This window comes from Homo sapiens, chromosome 12 (genome assembly GCF_000001405.40).
Source record: "Homo sapiens chromosome 12, GRCh38.p14 Primary Assembly".
Classification (NCBI taxonomy): domain Eukaryota; kingdom Metazoa; phylum Chordata; class Mammalia; order Primates; family Hominidae; genus Homo; species Homo sapiens.
The window spans coordinates 95,029,459-95,051,957 of record NC_000012.12 but is presented as its reverse complement, the minus strand read 5'-3'; the positions used below and the strand labels follow the sequence as shown (position 1 = coordinate 95,051,957).

General features: G+C 38.3%; 1 protein-coding gene across 13 annotated transcripts in view; it reads left to right on the top strand.

Moving 5' to 3' along the window:
- NR2C1 (nuclear receptor subfamily 2 group C member 1) overlaps positions 1 to 22,499 on the top strand; it is a 53,390-nt gene that overhangs the window by 21,661 nt on the left and 9,230 nt on the right. For 6 of the 13 annotated variants that reach the window (XM_006719584.3, XM_047429494.1, XM_005269133.3 and 3 more), the window contains 4 exons: positions 15 to 196; positions 2,725 to 2,890; positions 11,361 to 11,482; positions 20,470 to 20,609. In XM_006719584.3, coding sequence (XP_006719647.1) covers positions 15 to 196; positions 2,725 to 2,890; positions 11,361 to 11,482; positions 20,470 to 20,609 — 610 coding nt within the window. Of the gene's footprint in view, positions 1 to 14; positions 197 to 2,724; positions 2,891 to 11,360; positions 11,483 to 20,469; positions 20,610 to 21,084; positions 21,550 to 22,499 lie in introns of those variants that run through there. The other 7 variants (XM_047429495.1, XM_011538717.3, NM_001032287.3 and 4 more) reach the window with 6 other exon arrangements.

Below are 22,499 nucleotides of genomic sequence, written 5' to 3'. Positions count from 1 at the left end.
CCTTTTTTTTAAAGGCTGAATCATGTCAGGGAGATTTAAGTACATTGGCCAATGTGGTTACATCATTAGCGAATCTTGGAAAAACTAAAGATCTTTCTCAAAATAGTAATGAAATGTCTATGATTGAAAGCTTAAGCAATGATGATACCTCTTTGTGTGAATTTCAAGAAATGCAGACCAACGGTGATGTTTCAAGGTAAGGTATCTTTTGATTATCAATGTCCTTTTGTTTACATGTCTTTCAGTATTTCTTAAAACATTTTTATGTTAAATGCTATTTATAAAAGTTTCAGAAAACAAATACAGGTTGATTATCTAAATACAGGTTGATTATCTCTTATCCGAAATGCTTTGTTCAGACCAGAAACACTTCAGATTTCAGATTTTGGAATGTTTGCATTACTCTGGGTACCATGCAGGCCTTTCTGACCTTTTCAAAAATATCTTTACACCACAAAGAAGAGAATATGCAAAAATCCACAGTGAGTAATACACATAGGTCTTGGCTCCTCATGGGGAATCGGGGGAACTTGCCATTGGCATGTCTGGCCTGTACATGTGCCATTTTATCATCCTTAGTGGGCGTGCTTACTTGGGGGAGTCTGGGCGTATACAGAAAAGATTTATCTCAGCTGGGAGGATCTTTTTTCCCTTGGGGACAGGGAATAAACACTGAATAAACTGTAATACACCTGCTTTTTGACTGCAACCCATCATGAGAGGTCAGGTGTGAAATTTCCACTTGTGGCATCATGTTGGTGCTCAAAAAGTTTCTGATTTTAGAGCATTTTGGATTTTAGTATTAGGAATGCTTAACCTACATTTCTATTTTCACTTAGAAAATTTAAGGCATAGTAAGTTTTCACTGAAAACCTGCATTCATTATGAAAGGTTATATTCTAAATGACAAAATCAGTAAGTGAATATTAGAAGATTAGAAATGTGGTCTTAAAACCTAGGAATTTTTTCTTCTAAAGATGAAGATGTGTATGGAGAGCGAAACACTTGTCTTTCTAGGCAATCATATTGATCCTGCTCCTCAATTTCTAGTGATGAAAATTAATGTAAAAGGTTTAGTTTAATCAACTACAGTTTTAAGTTACAGTTGAAGAAAGTAGTATCAGAATTCTGTTTTTTATTCTGTAAATATTAATGCTTAGGATATAGAAACAGTTTATTCAGGGTTTTCCTACACTGCGTTTATCATTTAAAATATTGAATAAGCTGAACACATTAGTGTATAGGAGGCTGAGGCGGGAAGATCACTTCAGCCTGGGATTTTGAGTCAACCGGCAACTAGACCCCATCTCTAAAGGAAAAAAAAAGATATGATAAAAATACGCTGAATTGGCCGGGCACGGTGGCGTATGCCTGTAATCCTACCACTTTAGGAGGCCGAGAGGGGTGGATCACCTGAGGTCAGGAGTTTGAGACCAGCCTGGCCAACATGGTGAAACCCCATCTCTACTAAAAATGAAAAAATTAGCTGGGTGTGGTGGCGCATGCCTGTAATCCCAGCTACTTGGTAGGCTGAGGCAGGAGAACCGCTTGAACCCCAGAGATGGAGGTTGCAGTGAGCCGAGGTCACGCCACTGTACTCTAGCCTGGGCGACAAAACGAGAGTCTGTCTCAAACAACAACAAAACATAATATATATACTGAATAAACTACATTTAAGAGTCACAATAAGTAATACTTTGTTGAACATGAGATTTTAAGAAACTCTAGGAGGCTTATTGAAAAATATGGGGAACTATTTTGAGTAATTATTTGCTAACATTAGTTTGTTATTATTCTAATATCAAATTGTTACAGTTTAGATTTAGCTATGTGACCACACATTTTAAAATACTCTCTGCCCGGGTGCAGTAGCTCATGCCTGTAATCTCAGCACTTTGGGAGGCCAAGGTGGCAGGATTGCTTGAGTCCAGGAGTTGGGAGACCAGCCTTAGCAACATAGTGAGGCCCAGTTTCTACAGATAATTTAAAAATTAGCTGAGCATGGTGGTGCGCACATGTAGTCCCAGCTGCTCGGGAGGTTGAGGTGGGAGGATCGCTTGCTTGAACCCAGGAGTTCAGGATTACAGTGAGCCATGATCATGCCACTGCACTCCAGCCTTGCTGACACAGGGAGAATGTGTTTCAAAAATAAACATGAGTAAAATGTTTTCTGAATTTTTAAATAAAATTTAAGACCTATTGTACTGTGTATAATAAAGTTGACATAAGTTCTTACCCTTGTTCTAAGTAACTTTTGTATACAAAATAAATAGGCTGATAGTCTTGTAGTATCATATATATATATATCATACATATAATGTTCTTAAAAAATAATTAATTGAAAAGAATTTCGTTTAATTGAGACAGGGTCTTGCTGTGTCACCCAGGCTGGAGTACAGTGGTGTGATCATAGCTCACTGCAGCCCTGCCCTCCTGGACTCAAGCGATAAAATATATAACTTTTAAAAACATATTATTATATGAAAATATGAAGATGCTTCTCCCCCTTAATTATGCAAGATTTTAAAAAGAGACTTTAGGCCAGGCATGTGGCTTATACCTGTAATCCCAGCACTTTGGAAGGCTGAGGCGGGCATATCACTTGAGTTCTAGACCAGCCTGGCCAGTTTTTTAGGCTTAAATCTTAATTCCAGAATCCTATGTAGAATTGTTATTTTATTGCGGTGTTTGGTCAAGCTCATAGCTTCTGATGTCTTCATACAGGGCATTTGACACTCTTGCAAAAGCATTGAATCCTGGAGAGAGCACAGCCTGCCAGAGCTCAGTAGCGGGCATGGAAGGAAGTGTACACCTAATCACTGGAGATTCAAGCATAAATTACACCGAAAAAGAGGGGCCACTTCTCAGCGATTCACATGTAGCTTTCAGGGTATTTCTATATGTTTTTTTTAACTTGTATGTTGTGTTGCTTGATTTTGATCTACCTTTCAAAAATCAAAGTATGTTTGTTGTGCTTTTAAAGTCAGAAATATCCCTGATAGAATTTCAGAACAGCAGCTAAAACACTCATCTGGGCCAGGCACAGTGGCTTATGCCTGTAATCCTGGCATTTTGGGAGGCCAAGGTGGGCAGATCACCTGAGGTCAGGAGTTCGAGACCAGCCTGACCAACATGGAGAAACCCTGTCTCTACTAAAAATACAAAATCAGCCAGGTGTGATGGTGCATGCCTGTAATCCCAGCTACTCGGGAGGCTGAGGCAGGACAATCGATTGAACTCGGGAGGCGGAGGTTATGGTGAACCGAGATCACGCCATTGCACTCCAGCCTGGGCAACAAGAGCAAAACTCTGTCTCAAAAAAAAAAAAAAAAAAACTCATCTGCATATAGAAACAAAATGTCTTTAGGCTTTTCTCTTCTGTTTATCAAGATACTGAATAAGCTGGGCATGTTAGTGTGCATCTATGCAGGAGGCTAAAGCCTTATGTAGATAAGATAATGGCGTAATAAAGCATCCTGTTAAGTCAGTTATAATAGCAGTTATTGCGTTTAAAAGTTAGCTTTTATAACTTTTCAGCACATTTTGTTAAACTTTAAGTATTGGCATTCATGATGTGTTGAATGGACTGCTTTTGTTCAATGCCTAGCTACTACTATATCGTAATCAATAAGACCCAGATAGTTTGCTCTTACCATAGTAACTACAAAGAGCTCCATTTGTTATGTATCATCTTAATTAGCTGGCTTCCAGCATTATTATAAGATACAAATTGGCCAGGTGCAGCTGCTCCCACCTGTCATCGCAGTACTTTGGGAGGCTGAGGCCAGAGGATTGCATGAGTCCAGGAGTTGGAGACCAGCCTGGGCAACATGCCGAGACCTCATCTCTATTATAAATTAAAATTACATAATAAAATTTAAAAAGATACAAATTATTTAATATATTTTAACTTTTAGTTTTTAACTTACACTTTTTAGCCATTTTGGAGAAGGTACATTTATAATTTATTTTGTTCCCATAAATAATTGTGGGTTTTGCCATTACTTTTAAGGCTGCAATTACTTTTTCACCAACCTAATTTATTTATGACAGAAACAATACATGCAGAATACTAGAAATAATACATGTAGAAGACTAGAAAATCACTTTCTACTATTTGTCATTCAAATAATGCTTGGACAGAGTTATAGCCATGCTCACTGTGGAGACCTTACATTACGATCCTGTTGTTTTGACTCTTCCATTTTAACCACTCAGCTGTGGATACTCTTAGCAAGATGTATGCAAAGGGATTGAATGCATATAGATTTCACTTAGCAATATATAGCAGTCTTGGAATACCTGAGGGTGACTGCTCATACTTTTACTATAGATTATAAAATTCCATGGATTTTTTTAGGAGAATATGTACAGCTATCAAATAAATATGTATACCAGTAGAAGTTATGAGTGCAAAGTAATATTTGTATCTATAAAATTTGACTTGGTAGAAATAGCCACAGAGAAAACTCAGTGGCTTAAAATAGTGTAATTTGATGTAGTCAATAAAATATATCAGTGAAGCCAATTTTTATGTAAAATTTTACCAAAGATAATTTACATGGAAAAAATTAGAAATTTTTTTTCTACACTCTACAGGAAAATTTTTTATGAGTGCTATAAGAAAAAGTAATTGGAATAATCAGTATCATTCTAAAAAATTATGGTAAGATTTATGGACAAGGGTGGAGCAAGGCAAAACTTGATTTTTCCCATTGTTCTTTCGTATTCTAAATAAAAGATACTCTTTTGTTTTCTTAGGTTTATGTTCTGCTTTGGATTTAAATGGGAGGAAGGATGAAATGAGACAGATGTAGGAACAGGACCCATTGTGAGGGAAAAGGACCAGAGTGCTCTTTAGAAAGTAGGGGTAGTTTACCTGTTTATTGTTAATGTTGGTCCTCAAAGTTTTTGATTGCTTGAAATGTTTTGGACAGAAGAATTTGGCAAATTACAACTTTTTTTTCTTCTTAGGATTGGCTTTTGTCATTCCCATCTTTGTCTTCCTAAGTATCCTCACAGTCAGCACTATAAAGTTTCTTACTCTCCTGAAAAGGACCACTTCATCTTTCTCGGAGTCTTACAGCCTTGTGAAGTCAAATGTTTGACTTTTCAGTGATTTCCCTGCTTAGCTCCTAGAGTCTGGTAATTTCATGGTTCTCACATTGAAGTTTTCTGATCATGGGTTTCAAGACCTTACATCTGTAATCAAACAACTCAGTCCTTTCTTACTTGCTGAGCTGAATAGCATTTTGTTCCTCTGTTGCATTTCTATGTACACTGTAGTTTGCAGCATATTTTCACATACACTGTTTCCTTTGGGCCTCACCACATAAGCTGAGGTTAGAATTTTTAATTTTTTTTTTCTTTGTGAGATAGGGTCTCACTCTCACCCAGGCTGGAGCGCAGTGGCATAATCACAGCTCACTGCAGCCTCGACCTCCTGGGCTCAAGGGATTCTCCTGCTTCAGTCTTTCATGTTGCTGAGACCACAGGCATGTGCCACCACACCCAGCTAATTTAAAAAATTTTTGTGTAGAGATGGGATCTCACTTTGTTGTCCAGGCTTATCTTATACTCCTGGCCTCAAGTGATCCTCTCACTTCGGCCTCCCGAAGTGCTGGGATTACAAGTGTAACCCACCATACCTGGTAGGGTTAGAATTTTTATTCTCATTTGGTGGATGAAGAAAGAGATGTAGAGATGTTTAGTGTCTTGTTCAAAGCAATCTTGGTAGTAGGGAGAAATAGTCTAATAATGAAACTTGAAGTTTGATTTTGAAAAATCAAGGGCAGTAGTAATATTTAAGATTTTTATTGGCCGGGTGTGGTGGCTCACACCTGTAATCCTAGCACTTTGGGAGGCCTACGCAGGCAGATCACCTGAGGTCAGGAGTTCGAGACCAGCCTGGCCAACATGACGAAATCCCGTGTTTACTAAAAATACAAAAATTAGCCAGGCGTAGTGGTGCATGCCTATAACCCCAGCTACTCAGGAGGCTGAGGCAGAAGAATTGCTTGAACCCGGGGAGGCGGAGGTTGCCGTGAGCCAAGATTGCATCACTGCCTTCCAGCCTAAGTGACAGAGCGATACTCCATCTTTCAAAAAAAAAGAAAAAGATTTTTATTAAACTTCATAATTTTTGGTATGATTTCATGTACTTTATTTTACTTGATTCTTAAAATCTCCTTAGAAGATTTTAAGAATATGGTAGATCATATTCCCATTTTAGAAATTATATACATGCAACAGAAGTGAGGTGGTTTTGGAAATTGCATATACTTATTTCTAAAATTTTATTATTTTCACATTAGAGTCAGTCTTTCTGGTCGCCCATGTTTGCAACTTTAGAGGCAGTTACTCTCCCTAAGCCTCACTCTTCTCATTCCATAACTGAATTTTAACCATTCCATTGCTTGAATTTCTCCCTTCCTCTTCATTTCCTTCACCATATTTTAGGCCTTTTAAAATTCCTTTCTTGATTTGTTACCCTAATATCTTCGCTTCCAGTCTTTCTTTTCCATCTTGTCCTGTGTGCTGGTACCAGCGTTATATTTGTTAAAAATCAAATTATGTCACTCTGCCCAGCCTTCAGTAGCTTCCCATTGCCCATATGTTATGAAATTAAGTCCGGTCTCTATAACTTGACCTTTTAGGGCCCTCCACATTCTGACCCAGCTGCTCATGGTTTCTCACACATGCCATTAGCTTTCTTAGCCCTTTTCTATAGCTCATTCAGTTTTTATTTTATTCTTCCACTGAGACAATAGCACTTACTGGTTCCCAGTGAACTCTAAGTAAATAGTTACTGAATGAATATGTAATCTAGGGTCATACTGGTAATTAGGCGAAGTGATTAACAAAAAGTTGGAAGCAGAATCCAGATCTCCTAACTCAAATGATTTTTTTCTATTTGTGTGGAGATGAGGTTTCACTATGTTGCCCAGGCTGGTCTCAAACTCCTGGCCACAAGCAATGATCTTCCCACCTCGACCTCCCAAAAGTGCTGAGATTATAGGCCTGAGCCACTGTGCTTGTGCTCAGCCTCCAAGGATTTTGTTTTTGTTTTTGTTTTTTTGAGACAGACTGGCTCTATAGCCCAGGCTGGAGTGCAGTGGCATGATCGCGACTCACTGCAACCTCTGCCTCCCAGACTCAAGCCATCCTCCCACCTCAGCCTCCTGAGTAGCTGGGACTACAGGCATGCACCACCACTCCCAGCTGATTTTTGTATTTTTTTAAATACAGACGAGGTTTCATCATGTTGCCCATGCTAACTCATGAGCTCCAATGATCCGCCCACCTCGGCCCCCCCAAAGTGCTGGGATTATAAGCGTGAGCCATCACACCCGGCCATCCAGTGATTTTTTAAAAGCTATATCGGCTGGGCAGGGTGGCTCGCACCTGTAATCTCAGCACTTTGGGAGGCTGAGGTGGGTGGATCACGAGGTCAGGAGTTCAAGACCAGACTGACCAACGTGGTGAAACCCCGTCTCTACTAAAAATACAAAAAAAAAAAAAAATTAGCCGGGTGTGGTGGCGGGCACCTGTAATCCCAGCTACTCAGGAGGCTCAGGCAGGAGAATTGCTTGAACCCGGGAGGCGGAGGTTGCAGTGAGCCAAGATGGCACCACTGCACTGCAGCCTGGGCGACAGAGCAAGACTGCATCTCAAAAAAAAAAAAAGCTATATCACGCAGGCTGTTATAAGATTTCAATACAGAAACTGCTAGAAAGATAATTGTAGAAGCAACTAATAACTTCTAAAACAGATTGGTCAGGTTTAGTTCTTGTCAATGCTCTTTAAAAATTCACTCAATATGTTGAACTTTTCTAATTTGAAAAATGTGTATAATTCAATTTATAAACCTAAAGATATACAGGCATTTTGGGGAAGCTCACTCTTTATATAGGAATAAATCTTTGTCTTTTCAGTCTCAAAGACTTGTGAAATGGACTATTGTTTCTTCAGCCAACATTAGCTTTCTGATTCAGAATACTAGAGTTTTATTGAGCATGTAGAACAGATTATGAAACATTTTCTCTCTTTATAAGTTAACATGGTGTAGTAATATTTTAAATAACGAGTCCCTTTAGTGTGTGTTGTAAACTATTTCCATTTTATGATTAAACCAGCAGAAAGTTTTCAGAGTTACCACCACTGTTGTGTAAAGCAAAACCATTATATCCAGTGTTTACACATTACAAGTATTAATATTTTATTTAAATGCAATTTTAAACTATTTTGCAAAGGATTTTTTTTTTTTTTGAGACAGAGTCTTGCTCTGTCTCCCAGGCTGGAGTACAGTGGCACAATCTTGGCTCACTGCAGCCTCTACCCGCTGGGTTCCAGCTGTTCTTGGCACCTCAGCCTCCCGAGTAGCTGGGATTACAGGCACACACCGCCATGCCCGGCTAATTTTTTGTATTTTTAGTAGAGACCTGGTTTTACCTCATTGGCAGGCTGGTCTTGAACTCCTGACCTCAAGTGATCTGCCTGCCCTGGCCTCCCAGAGTGCTGGGATTACAGGCCTGAGCCACCACGCCTAGCCTTACAAAGGACTTTTTTGTTGTTGTTTTGCATCTTACTTGCCCCTTCCCCCAAAACTAGTAATTTTTGGTAATTCCCTTAGTTTTTCAGACTTCCTTTTTACTCACCTTGGGTAATTCTGAAAAGATATGATATATTTTGTTTTTTAAGATGTGGTCTTGCTCTGTCACCCAGGCTGGAGTTCAGTGGCACAATCCTGGCTCACTGCAACCTCTACCTCCTGGGCTAAAGGGATCCTTCTGCCTCAGTCTGCTAAGTAACTGGGATTATAGGTGCACACCACCATGTCCAGCTAATTTTTTTATTTTTAGAGATGAGGTCTTACTGTGTTTCCCAGGTTGGTCTCAAAATTCCTAGGTTCAAGCAGCTCTTCCACCTCAGCCTCCCGAGTTGCTGGGATACAGGTGTGAGCCATCACTCCTGGCTAAATTTTTAATTTTTTGTTTTGTGTGTCGGTTTTTTTTTTTTTTTTTTTGTAGAAATGGGTCTCGTTATGTTGCCCAGGCCGGTCTTGAACTACTGGCTTCAAGCAGTCCTCTCACCTTGGCCTCCCAAAGTGCTGGAATTACAGGCACGAGCCACTGCGCTCAGCCAAGAATTGTCTTAAATAATTGTATTTTAACTTACTGCTGTAGTAAACCTTTCTCAAACATTCTTAAATATGTAAAAAATTTTCTTCTCACTTACAGAATTTCAACTATTAATTGCCCTTTTGTTTTATTACTTGGTACAATTTATAAATAGGTAAACCATTCTTGGCTAATAATGAACAAAGGCAGGGGTTGTTTTTTACATTTTTATGTAACTTTTCTTTGTTTCAAACCTCAAGCCTTTTAGATAGAAGATACCTTTGAGGGGCCAGGTGCGGTATTTTAGATAGCAGATACCTTTGACAGGCCAGGTGCGGTGGCTCATGCCTGTAATCCTAGCACTTTAGGAGGCCCAGGCGGGCGGATCACCTGAGGTCAGGAGTTTGAGACGAGCCTGGCCAACGTGGTACAACCCCGTCTCTACTAAAAATACAAAAAAAATTAGCGGGGCCTGGTGGCACACGCCTGTAGTCCCAGCTACTGGGGAGGCTGAGGAAGGACATTCATTTGAACCTGGGCAGAGAGCTGAGATCACGCCACTGCACTCCAGCCTGGGTGACAGAGCGAGACCCCATCTCAAAAAAAAAAAAAAAAAAAAGATACCTTTGAGAATCTGATGAAAGCTATAATAGTCATTCCCCAGAAAAATACATATGGACACATCTACCTACCCCACCCAGAGGTAGCCACTGTTAACTGTGTGGCGTGTTTCCTTCTGTACTTTTTAGGTATACATATATATGTACTCTTTAACATAAATTGGGTCATCTATTTAATACATACTGTTTTACAGTTTTTTCCACTTGGATGTCTGTGAGATTTTTTGTATACCATTACATCTCAGTTTATCTTTCCAATTTTAATGCCCACATATATTCTATAGCATGGATTATTCTTTTCTCTAGTGATAGAAATTTGGGTTGTTGCCAGCATTTAATTTCATTGTTAGATGTAGAGCTGCAATGGACATCCTTACACATGCTTTTTTTGTGCATGTATGCAAGTATTTTGCTGGAACAGAGATTTAGAAGTGGTATTATTGCATGTACTTACTTTCAAAATTTTGGTAGATGGTAGACTAATTCTTCTCCAGACTACCCCACCCTTGGTAGTGTGTACTTGGTTTTCTGTATCCTCACTATACTTGATACTATTGGTCATTTCAGTAATTACAAAGTAGAAAAAAGTTTCAACAGTGGTCAGACATTTTAAAGAACTAGATCAGCAATATAAACTGACCACTTACTAGTAGTATGTCCACAGGCATACCTGTAATTTTTAAAACATTTTTTTTTTATTTAGTGCCAGTTTGGGTTTTTTTGTTTTGTTTTGTTTTGAGATGGAGTCTCACTCTGTTGCCCAGGCTGGAGTGCAGTGGCTCAATCTTGGCTCACTGCAACCTCCACTTCCCAGGTTCAAGCAATTCCCCTGCCTCAGCCTCCCGGGTAGCTGGGACTGCTCACCACACACGGCTCAATTTTTTTTTGGTATTTTAGTAAAGATGAGGTTTAACCATGTTGACCGGGATGGTCTCGATCTCTCGACATCGTGATCCACCTGTCTCCACCTCCCAAAGTGCTGGGATTATAGGCACGAGCCACCACACCCGGCCTGCCAGTTTTTTTAAATAGGGAGGTTTCACACAGAATGTGCTCTTTGAAAAACTGAAAGAGCTGGCAGTGCTCAGCCCACAATTCCATATGTTTTCACTGCACTGAATTCAATTCACAGCTGTGTCCTTTATCTGGGAATAAATATGCTCTTCCCAGTTGGTACCAGCAAGCCTGTTGCACTCCTTACTCTCCTGGCTTTGTAAGCATTTGAATTTGTTAACCCCTTAGCCTAAATGAAAGAAACATTTAGCGGACAGAATTTCTCCTTAAACTGAATTTGTTGTATGCTATCATTAATGGAGAGAAGGAAGGAAAAGAAACATATTGTTAGACCAAGACAGGAAGTAACATAACCAGATAATATCATCGTTGATATTTGTTGAGGTTCTGCTTGTCTAAATATTGGCTTGTTAGAAACTATGGGCTACTTATTTATTCTAAGCCCTGTTAGCTGTAAATTCTAGTGACTTGGATTATTTCAAGATTAGCTTTTTTTGTGAATATATTAGCTCTCATTTGATGTGTTACGTTTAAACTTTTTCAAAGAAATGATAATTTAGAACTTTTCAGTCATAAGATAATTTACCTAAATCCCTGTTCATACTAGCTCACCATGCCTTCTCCTATGCCTGAGTACCTGAATGTGCACTACATTGGGGAGTCTGCCTCCAGACTGCTGTTCTTATCAATGCACTGGGCACTTTCGATTCCTTCTTTCCAGGCTCTAGGGTGAGTGTTTTGAAATCTTGAATATAAATGTGATTTTGTAGTGCAAATGTACATTAAACAAAACTTTTTATTTTGGGAAGATTTGCATTAAAGGAAAAAACAGTATAACATTATAGCTTTAAGTTGTGTCATTCAAATGACAAATCATGGCAGCTAACTAGTATTTTCTCTGTATTTATGTGGAAGAGTATCCATATTTTGTAGTTTGACTAAGTTAAGAATTTGGATGGAATATGATCAGTAGAATTGATAAGACTATGGCTAGCATTTGTAACAGGCCTCATCTTTCATTGGCTCAAAGATAGAGAGACTGTAAGACTGCCCTAGGTTCTTGTTTCTCTCTCATCACTACTGTTTCAGTGTTCATCCCAGGCATGTTACTAAAGAGCTGAATTTTGCCTACAGTGGTTATGTTAAAAGTAGAGATAATTGTTTTCCAATCATGTGGTTCAAAAAAAAAAAAAGAAAATGTAAAACCTCATAGTACCACTACAATGACTTAGAGGGTTAGTCTTACCACTCAAGAGTACATCTGAGGTTGGGCATGGTAACTAACGCCTGTAATCCCAGCATTTTGGGAGGTCAGGGCAGGAGGATGGCTTGAGGCCAGGAGTTTAAGACCAGCCTGGGCAACAGAGTGAAACCCTGTCTCTACAAAAAGAAAAAAAATGTTTTAATTAGCTGGGCATGGTGATGCACACTAGTAGTTCCAGCTACTCTAGAGGCTAAGGGGGGCCAATCACTTTAGCCCAGAAGTTCGAGGCTGAAATAAGCCATGATCACATTGCTTACTGCACTCCGGCCTGGGACGGAGCTAGACCCTGTCTCTTAAAAAAGAGTATATCTACATTCTGTTCTGAAGAAATCAGATGAGATAGAAAATGGCCTACTATAAGAAACTCAAGCTTTACCTAAAGTTTGCCAAATGTATTTAAATTGTTTTAAAATAACTGGTGTGTCTAAAGGCAAAGCAATGGAAAAAGTTAAGCCCATAGTTAGAAAGTTTTTATTCAAAGTTAGAAAGTTTTTATTCAACTCCTAGGACCCTATTCACCAGTATGATTTTGTAAACAATTCAGTTTCACATCCTGTATACCTGTTCTTCCATTTGCCAAATGGGAATAATAATTGCCCACCTGTTATCCTCAAAGACTATTTTGAATATAACAAAGAAATATGTGAACATGATTGTAAAAGGCATACAGAGAATTGAATAAAGGCATATTTAACATTATAATTTGGTTTATTAATCAGCATTATACTATGCATTAAATCATGTGCTCAGATATTATAGTTACATAGACTAAAAGCCTGATTTAGGATGGTTAACCTTTAAAATGATTGTTAGTCCTTTTTTAACATTCAATTTTCAGCATTTCTCTAGTTTTCTGGGGTTTTTTTTGTTTAAGAGATGAGTTCTTCCTCTGTCATTGAGACTGATCTGGAACTCCTGGGCTCAAGCAATCCTCCTATATGGATGCCTCCCATACAGGCATGCACCACCTCGCCCAACGTCCAGTGTGTGTGTTTGTAGAAAAAAATAAAATGTAAATTTGCATATTGGCAATTGATTTTTTTTTAGTTAGTTGGGTTAGAGTCTTTTTTCTACTTTGTAATTACTGAAATGATCAATAGTATCAAATATAGTGAGGATACAGAAAACCAAGTACACACTACTGAGGGGTGGGGTAATCTGGAGAACAATTAGTCTATTATCGACCAAAATTTTTAAAATAAGTACTTATACTGGATTGCAGTAGCGTGATCTCGGCTCACTGCAATCTCCACCTCTCAGTTTCAAGCAATTCTTATGCCTCAGCCTCCTGAGTAGCTGGGACTACAGGTGTGCACCACCAAGCCCAGCTAATTTTTGTATTTTTAGTAGAGATGGGATTTCGCCATGTTGGCCAGGCAGTTCTCAAACTGCTGGCCTCAAGTGATCTGCTCACTTCAGCCTCCCAAAGTGCTGGTGTTATAGGCGTGAGCCTCTGTGCCTAGCCAGCAATTGACTAATTTTAAAATATTAAGTGTAGTTCACTCATCTTGTAACTCACATTCACATGTCTAAAAAGTAACGTGGTGATATTTTTCATGATAGGCTATCAGTTATTATAATAAAACAACAAAAGGGAGGAATTTTGGGGAGTGGTTTGAACTCCTTGAATTATTTACACCACCATTGATCTTAAGTACTTCTATTAAATTGAGTATAATTATCCTATGGAAATAACGCAGATGTTGAGAAACCAAAAATAAGGCCTCAGGAGGTTTCTGTTTATAAAATAAGTCATTTTTATAGTGGTAGCCACATTTTCCTGTGATCTGTATTGAGAATCAGTTTCAATGTAACAACCACAAGATTCTTTGTAATTAGAATAACTTGATCTAGCAGTCAAGGCCATTATGTAAACTCTTATTTTTTATCCCTATCTAGATGATTCATAGATCTTATTTATGTGTTTACTTAATCATACGGATAAGGACAAAGTGCTCATGATGGAAAAATTCTATTATATGGAAATAAAAGCTATTCTAAAAGTAGAAACTGGCATTAGGTTCCTTTTTTTTTTTTTTTTTTTTTGAGATGGAGGCTCGCTCTGTCGCCCAGACTGGAGTGCAGTGGCACGATCTCCGCTCAGTGCAAGCTCCGCCTCCCGGGTTCAGGCCATTCTCCTGCCTCAGCCTCCCAAGTAGCTGGGACTACAGGCACCTGCAACCACACCCGGCTAATTTTTTGTATTTTTAGTAGAGACAGGGTTTCATCGTGTTAGCCAGGCCGATCTCGATCTCCTCACCTCGTGATCCGCCTGCCTGGGCCTCCCAAAGTGCTGGGATTACAGGCGTGAGCCACCGTGCCCGGCCAAGATTGCATTTTTATCTAAAAATATAAAAGTTGGTGACAAAGTCCTAATTTTACAGAGAGAAACAGATAAGCAACATTAATCATTTTCTGAAATCAAGATTGTTTTGATCACTTTAATTGAAGGGAACAGTAACTTAAATAATTTTACTAAACAGTGCATGGTTAGTACCTTTGTATTTTACAAGGCTTCTATATTTTACAAAGGTGTTGATTGTCAGTATACAGTTAATACTACTAATATTTTACAAGGCTTCTGTATTTTACAAAGGTATTGATTTTCTGTTTTAAGATTTGTAGTTTCAGTACTTAGAGTAATTCAGTTGTTGGTTTTAAGTTCTCCCTGCAAAATTTAGGTTAAGTGACTATATGAATAGTGGTAGATTCCATTGCGGGGTAGTGGAGAATACTTGTCATGATTTGCCTGGAGTAAGTATGGCAGCAGTCATCTCTACCTAGATTCTTAAAATATAACCAAAAGCTCCAAGCCACCACCGTTTACCACAGGAGACTTTATTTATTGAATAATGTAATCAATAGCCTTCCATTAAATGCCAAGCCAGACAGCTGAATCTTTTAAATTACCACTGAAGCATAATGTAATGTTTCCTGTAACTTTGTAGTTTTGAAACCTGTAACTTTTTAGGTTCATTTTGACTATCACTGATACTTTTCCCTGAGGACTGGTGCCTTCAGTATTACCAGATATGAGGGGCTCAAAAGTTATATTCCTTTATGAAAATAAATAGTATAAACAATTATATAACCTCTAATTGTGAGTCCTATAATGAATGTTAACAATATAGGCCAGGCCTGGTGGCTCATGCCTGTAATCTCAGCACTTTGGGAGGCCAAAGCAGGCGGATCACTTGAGGCCAGGAGTTCAAGACCAGCCTGGGCAACATGGCAAAACCCTGTCTCTACTAAAAATTCAAAAGTTAGCCAGGCATGGTGGCAGCTGCCTGTAATCCCAGCTACGCAGGAGGCTGAGGCAGGAGAATCACTTGAATCCAGGAGACGGAGGTTGTAGTGAGCTGAGATCATGCCACTGTACTCCAGCCTGGGTGACAGAGTGAGACTCTCCTTCAAAAAAAAAAAAAAAAGTAAACCCACAATATAGTGTAGTAGTTAGAGAAAAATACCTGTACCTATTTGTAAAAGAAATTAACATATTTACTAATTTTACAAGTTAATGCTTTTTTAAAAACTAGAGATGGAGGTCTCACTGTTGTCCAGGCTGATCTTGAACTCCTTGCCTCAAGCAATTCTCCCAGCCGAGCCTCCCAAAGTACTGGGATTACAGGCATGAGCCATCATATCCGGCCTTTTTTTTTTTTTTTTTTAATCTCAACATTCGTGTTGCTTTTTAGATGCCTTAGTGATAACCTTAACTACAGTCTCTACTCAGCTCTTTTTGCTTCTTAAAGATGTTTTGAACATAAACTACAATAGTCATTTATTTTCCTAACAGGAAAAACTGGTAGCAAACATGCCCTTACCATCCCAAAATATTAACCTTAAATGGAGGAGTCTCTACTGAGAAATTTACTGACTTTAGCATTTCACTTGCTAAATTGTGTAATGAGGTTTAAAGGAGCATAAAGGTTCAAATTCTGTTTTTATACATCTGCTGGCTTTTGTGTCTTTGGACCACGTAACTTAAATGAGGCCCAGTGTCTGTAAATTGGGAGCAGAAACACTTCATTATGAACTACATCACATAGGTGAGATAATGAATGTAAATGCATCTAAGCCATTGCCTGCTGCAAAGTAGATAATAAAAGGTCATTCTTCGTCATTCTCTTAAAGACCATCTTTTTAGAGTAGCCTTGCTGTTTTTCTTTCCTAACATAATTGAACTTTTAAAAACATAGCTAGCTATACCATCAGGGTTTTTGGTTTGGGGTTTAGATAAATGTAAATAGATACCTTTCTGTAGTTGGTTTCTACAGTCCTTTTCCCTTTTCTTTTGGAAACACAATAATCTGGTAGGTTATTTCTCATCTGCCACTGGTGTCTTTTTTCCTTAGTAATAATTTTGGTATTCTTATCCTTTGCACTTATACTCCTTTTTTTCTGAGCTTCTCCAGCAATGCCAAGGTACTTTCTTACTACAAGATGCATAGCACAAGCCAGCTCTGATTTTTTTCCATTTATTTTTCCTTTCCTGTGTTTACTAGCAAACTACTTTGGTTAGCTGTTTCCTCCTTAAAACTTCAGAATCAGAGGTTAAAAGTGAAACTGAGTTTACTCTAACTTCCTTCATGTTAGCTTTTAATTTTTTTTAATGTTTAAAGTAATATTGAAGTATAGGATTATAAAGTAAAACCTCACTCACCAGAGGTAACTAACCCCACTGTTAACAGTTTGGTGTCCTACTAGAATGTTTCTGTGAGATACTTATTAGACAATTAAATACATACACATATTTACACATCCTATTCTTTGCCTTGCTTTTTACACTCATAGACTTCTTCCTATGTTAGTACATGTAAATTTACCCCATTTGTCCTCATGGCTTCTATTATAGTATTCCATTTTATGCACTTATTCATTCCTTATTAGTAGACATTTGGGTTGTTGCCAGTTTTCTTTGTTATTATATCCAGTGCTACAATGTGCATTTTGTGGCATTGTGTATGTATTTTCGCCCACTTTTTTTAGTATGGTCATGTTAGTATAGGCATGTGTTGCCCATTTAATGATGGCTATGTAATCTGAGAAATGCATCATTAGGCAGTTTTGTCATTGTGAACATCATAGAGTGTACTTACACAAACCTACTACACATCAAGGCTATATGCTACAGCCTAGTGCTCCTAGGCTACAAACCTAGGACAAACCTGTATAGCATGTTACTGTACTGAATACCATAGGCAGTTGTAACACAATAGTAAATGTTTGTGTATCTAAACATAGAGAAGTGTCCATAAAAATATGGTATTACAATCTTAAGGGACCACCATTGTATATGTGGTACATTGTTGACTAAAACATTGTGCTATGCATGACTGTACTTCTATAACATAGTTTCTTAGAGGTGAAATTGCTGGGTCTAAGAAAGTGCACATTTCAACTTTCGATGGGTACTACCAAACTGTTCTCTGAAAAGATGTTGATCCAGTTTATGTTCACGTCAGCAGTGTATGAGAATGAATACTTATTTCCTCACCTCTTCCTCAATTCTGGATTTTATCCATCTTTAATGAAAATAGTATCCTTTATTTTTATCTCCTTTGATTTTGTTTAAGATTGATATTTTTAAGCATTTTCTATAGGAATATTATAAAATACCGGTTTTCTTTGCATTTAAACTTTACTTTCAAATGACAGGCAGTTTCTTGTGGCCAGTGATCCTTCTTGGATACTGAATGGAAAAGAGATCAGCCTGAAGTTAAAATTTCACATTAATAATTCTCAGAAAAAAAAACTTGCTGTGACTGAGTTGACAGTATTAGCATTTGTTGCAAGTATGTTCGATTATTTAATAAAATGTAATGTCATAAGGCTGTGATTCTTAACGAATGATTTCTGTTAAACATACTGATTATCCTAATTTTAAAGCTTTATTAAGAAGAAAAATATATAAGTACCATTCATTAAGTTGGACATATTTCCTATCAGGACGTTCTTACCAACTTATATCTCTCCAGAGATTTAAGGAAAGAAATCTTATAGTTGCATCATCTTATTTATAATAAAGTCTGTAGGTTTGGTTTAAAGATTAATTGTAAAAGGGCCCACAGCTCTTTTCATCAAAGTTCTCACATCTGCCTGTTCTGTACTCGCTAAGATCAGAAATCATTTGCAGAATTCTTTCTGTGTACCATGTACTGCATTGGTCTCTGAGATACAGAAATGCGCAAGGGAGTCTCTGCCTTCAGTGAGGATACGTGTGTGCGTGACACTGAAGGGGGAATGAATATGTTGAGAGAGGAATAATGTTCCTTCTAGAAAGTGAACTCTGAGCTATATTTTAAGGGATCAGTAGGTATTAGCCAGGAAAACAAGGCTACGAAAGGACCTTCCAAGACAATAGGATAGCATTTAGTAATTCACTTAACAATTTTTATTGAATATCTATTGTTTTATTGAATATGCTTGTTCTCACCTTAGCACATTTGCCCTTGTTCTCCCTGGGATACTATTCCCCTAGATCTGATTTTTGGTTTTTGTGTTTGTTTGTTTTAATTCTCTGCCATCTTTCTCCAGTCAAATGTCACCACCTCAGAAATGCCTTCTCTAACCACCTTATCTGAACCTTCCCATTTTCTAATATACATCCTTTATACTAATGTAGAATTTTTATTACCTAAAATTATGTATAATCATATATGTATATTTATATAAAATACTTGAAATTATATATTTGTTATTTCCCCTTTTTTTCATGAAGGCAAACTTAATCTCTTAATTGCTATTTCTCCAGTACCTGGCATATACTTTCTCAATTTTTTTTTTTTTTTTGAGACAGGGTCTTCCTGTGCCAGGTTAGAGGCTGGAGTGCAGTGTCTCTTCACAGATGCAATCATGGTGTGCTACCCCTTCAAACTCCTGGCCTCAAGCAGTCCTCCCACCTCAACCCTCCTGAGTAGCTGGGACTATAGGCATGTGCCACAGCACCCAGTTAATTCTCTCTCTTTTTTTTGAGACAGGGTCTCACTCTGTCACCCAAGCTGGAGTGCAGTGGTGTGATCACAGCTCACCGAAGCCTCAACTTCCCCAGGCTTAGGTGATCCTCCCACCTCAGCCTGCGAGTAGCTGAGACTATAGGTGTGCACCTCCACACCCAGCTAATTTTTGTATTTTTTGTAGAGATAGAGTTTCGCCATGTTGCCCAGGCTGGTTTGCAACTCCTGGGCTCAAGTGATGCGTCTGCCTCAGCCTCCCGAAGTGCTGGGATTACAGACGTGAGCTACTGCGCCCAGCCCCAGCTAATTCTTACCTTTCACCTCTTAATAACTCTGAGCAAGATATAGGACGTATAGTGTCTCTGCATTTTGTATCATTAGACAACCTGAGACCTGGGAAGTTTGCCTAATTTCAAATGGATAAATAGGTTTAAGTAGCTGGGACGGCAGGCACATGCCACTATGCTCGGCTAATGTTTTCATTTTTTGTAGAGATGGGGGTCTTTTTTTTTTTCCTTTTTTTTTTTGAGACGGAGTCTCGCTGTGTCACCCAGGCTGGAGTGCAGTGGTGCGACCTCTGCTCACTGCAAGCTCTGCCTCCCAGGTTCACACCATTCTCCTGCCTCAGCCTCCTTGTGCTGCTGAGATCAGTTACTTAGAAATTCAGGAGAGAACTTTTGACCTTTCTAATCTCTTGTTATTCATAGTAAAATCCTGGGTATCTTATTTATAGGGATACTAATATCTCCTCTGAAACATACAATGAACCATTTTTCTCCTAAAATTGGTTGCTTGCCTACTATAAAATAATTCTAGAGGCTGGGAGCAGTGGCTCACGCCTGTAATCCCAACACTTTGGGAGGCCAAGGCAGGCGGATCAGCTGAGGTCAGGAGTTCAAGACCAGCCTGGTCAAGACGGCAAAACCTTGTCTCTACTAAAAATACAAAAATTAGCCACATGTGGTGGTGCATGCCTGTAATCCCAGCTACTGAGGAGGCTGAGGCAGGAGAATAGCTTTAACCCAGGAGGTGGAGGTTGCAGTGAGCAGAGATCACGCCATTGCACTCCAGCCTGGGCAACAGAGCAAGACTCTGTCTCAAAACAATAAAATAATTTGAATTGCTCTTTCTTTTAAAAGGTATTTACCTATATTCAAAGCAAAAGTTTTTTTTTAATATATGCTTTTGCTTTTAAGAACAATCTTTATTCCATTTCTATGAAATGTGAAGTTAAAGCCCCAACTTTTTTAGTTTGAATATTACTTGCAATTGTTCTTATAAACTGGCTGATTGATGAGCTAGCTACTATTTAAATGCCTAAGCATTCCTCATTTCTCATTTTGTTATCAGCTATACAAAACACAGACTTGCTCAAATCTTTCTAGAATAATTTTAGTTTAGTAATATGCTGTTTTTAAGTATTTGGACTAGCTGTAAGGTTTATAAAACTTATTTTAATAATATCTGATTTGTGCTTTTATTACTGTTTTTAATAGGCAAGAAAACAGCATATCACTGGTGAAAGCTTACTGGAATGAACTTTTTACTCTTGGTCTTGCCCAGTGCTGGCAAGTGATGAATGTAGCAACTATATTAGCAACATTTGTCAATTGTCTTCACAATAGTCTTCAACAAGGTAAAAAGCACCTTCCTTACCTTTTCCAGGTTGTAGGAGGAGGCATGAGTTTCATTAAATGTTATGACTAAAGTTAGATATCTAATAATTATTATATTAGTGTTTTAGGTACCAATGCTCTTCTTACTTTAGATAATTTTTACAATTTTATAAATTTACTAATCCTCTAAAAATATTTTTTAAATAGAGTGCAACAAAATTGAAAACAGTATACTTAAGTCTGGCAGGCTATTTCTGACCAGGCCTTGTGAATTTTTGTGCAACTATCAAAGAATCCAGGGTGAGCTTATGTAGAGGTGGTCAAATATTTTAAAACATATACTACTCAGCAATTTTTAAATGACCTTTCTTTATTATAGCCCTTTGAATCCTAAGATAGGTTGATTTTGTATCAATTCATCAGAGTGTATTCTCTCACCTAAATAGTTCTGAAGAGTCAGGAACAATCCTTTTTATTCTGTTTTTCCTTTCCTAGATGCCAAGGTAATTGCAGCCCTCATTCATTTCACAAGACGAGCAATCACTGATTTATAAATGCTTAACTATAGAATGGCTTATGACTACCCAAAACAGTGCCCCATCAACAAATGGGGAAAATTGCCTTTTGAGCTCAGGAATAATTTATAAATTGGGGACTACCTTTTAGTTCTTTAGCATATTCTATTTCTTATTGTTTTATATAATTTTTAAATCATTTGCTTCCTCCTTATGTTTAACAGCAGAGGGGTAATCACCTTAAAATGTCATCAAAAATAGATCTACTAGAAGGCAGCATCACATTCCCATCTTACTTATGGACTCCTACCCCTGGTTCATGTCTTATATGCCTGTAATGGTTATAAAGCCTACCTTCAGGAAAGCTATGGTTGACTAATTACTAATGGATGGGTTTTAAACATGTCCCTCTACAATAAATTAAAATCTTTATTGTAAAACTTTATTCTGCTTCAGTTTTTTTCTTCTTAACAGTGTTTTTACTAAATATCTGTTTTTATTATAGTAGTCTTGGTAGTGAAACATGTAGATGGTTTTGCTCATTTTTTCCCAACCAATATAAGCTTAAATAAAATCCTATTACCAAAATTTGAGTCTTATGTACTTTTAGTTGTCTAGTGTTTCAGATGGTTATCTTTACATCCTATCTTCTCAAAGGTATATCTTGAAAGCAAACATTTCAGCCAGGTGGGGTGGTTCACACCTGTAATTCCAGCCCTTTGGGAGGCTGAGGTGAGACTGCTTGAGCCTAGGAGTTCGAGACTAGCCTGGACAACATTGTGGTACCCCACCTCTACAGAAATTTTTTAAAAATTAGCTGGCCATGGTAGCGCATGCCTATAGTCATAGTCCCAGCTACTTAGGAATCTGAGGCAGAGGATTACTTGAGCCCAGGAATTTGAGGTTGCAGTGAGCTATGATGGCACCACTACACCCTAGCTTGGACAACAGAGTGAGAACCATTTCTTTAAAAAAATAAAAAGGGTGGGGAGGGGGGTGTTGGGCGCGGTAGCTCACGCCTGTAATCCCAGCACTTTGAGATGCCTAGGCGGGTGGATCATGAGGTCAGGAGTTCAAGACCAGCCCGGCAAACATGGTGAAACTCCGTCTCTACTAAAAATACAAAAAAATTAGCCAGGCGTGGTGGCAAGCGCCTGTAATCCCAGCTACTCAGGAGGCTGAGGCAGAGAATTGCTTGAACCCAGGAAGCAGAGGTTGCAGTGAGCCGAGATCGTGCCACTGCACTCCAGCCTGGGCGACAGAGCGAGACTCCATCTCAAAAAAAAAAAAAAAAGGAACCATTACATTTAGAGTTTTCTTTTTTTGTTTGTTTGGTTTGTTGTTTTTTTTAACAAGCCAAGTGCCATAAACATCCAAATCCATTTTTTATATATA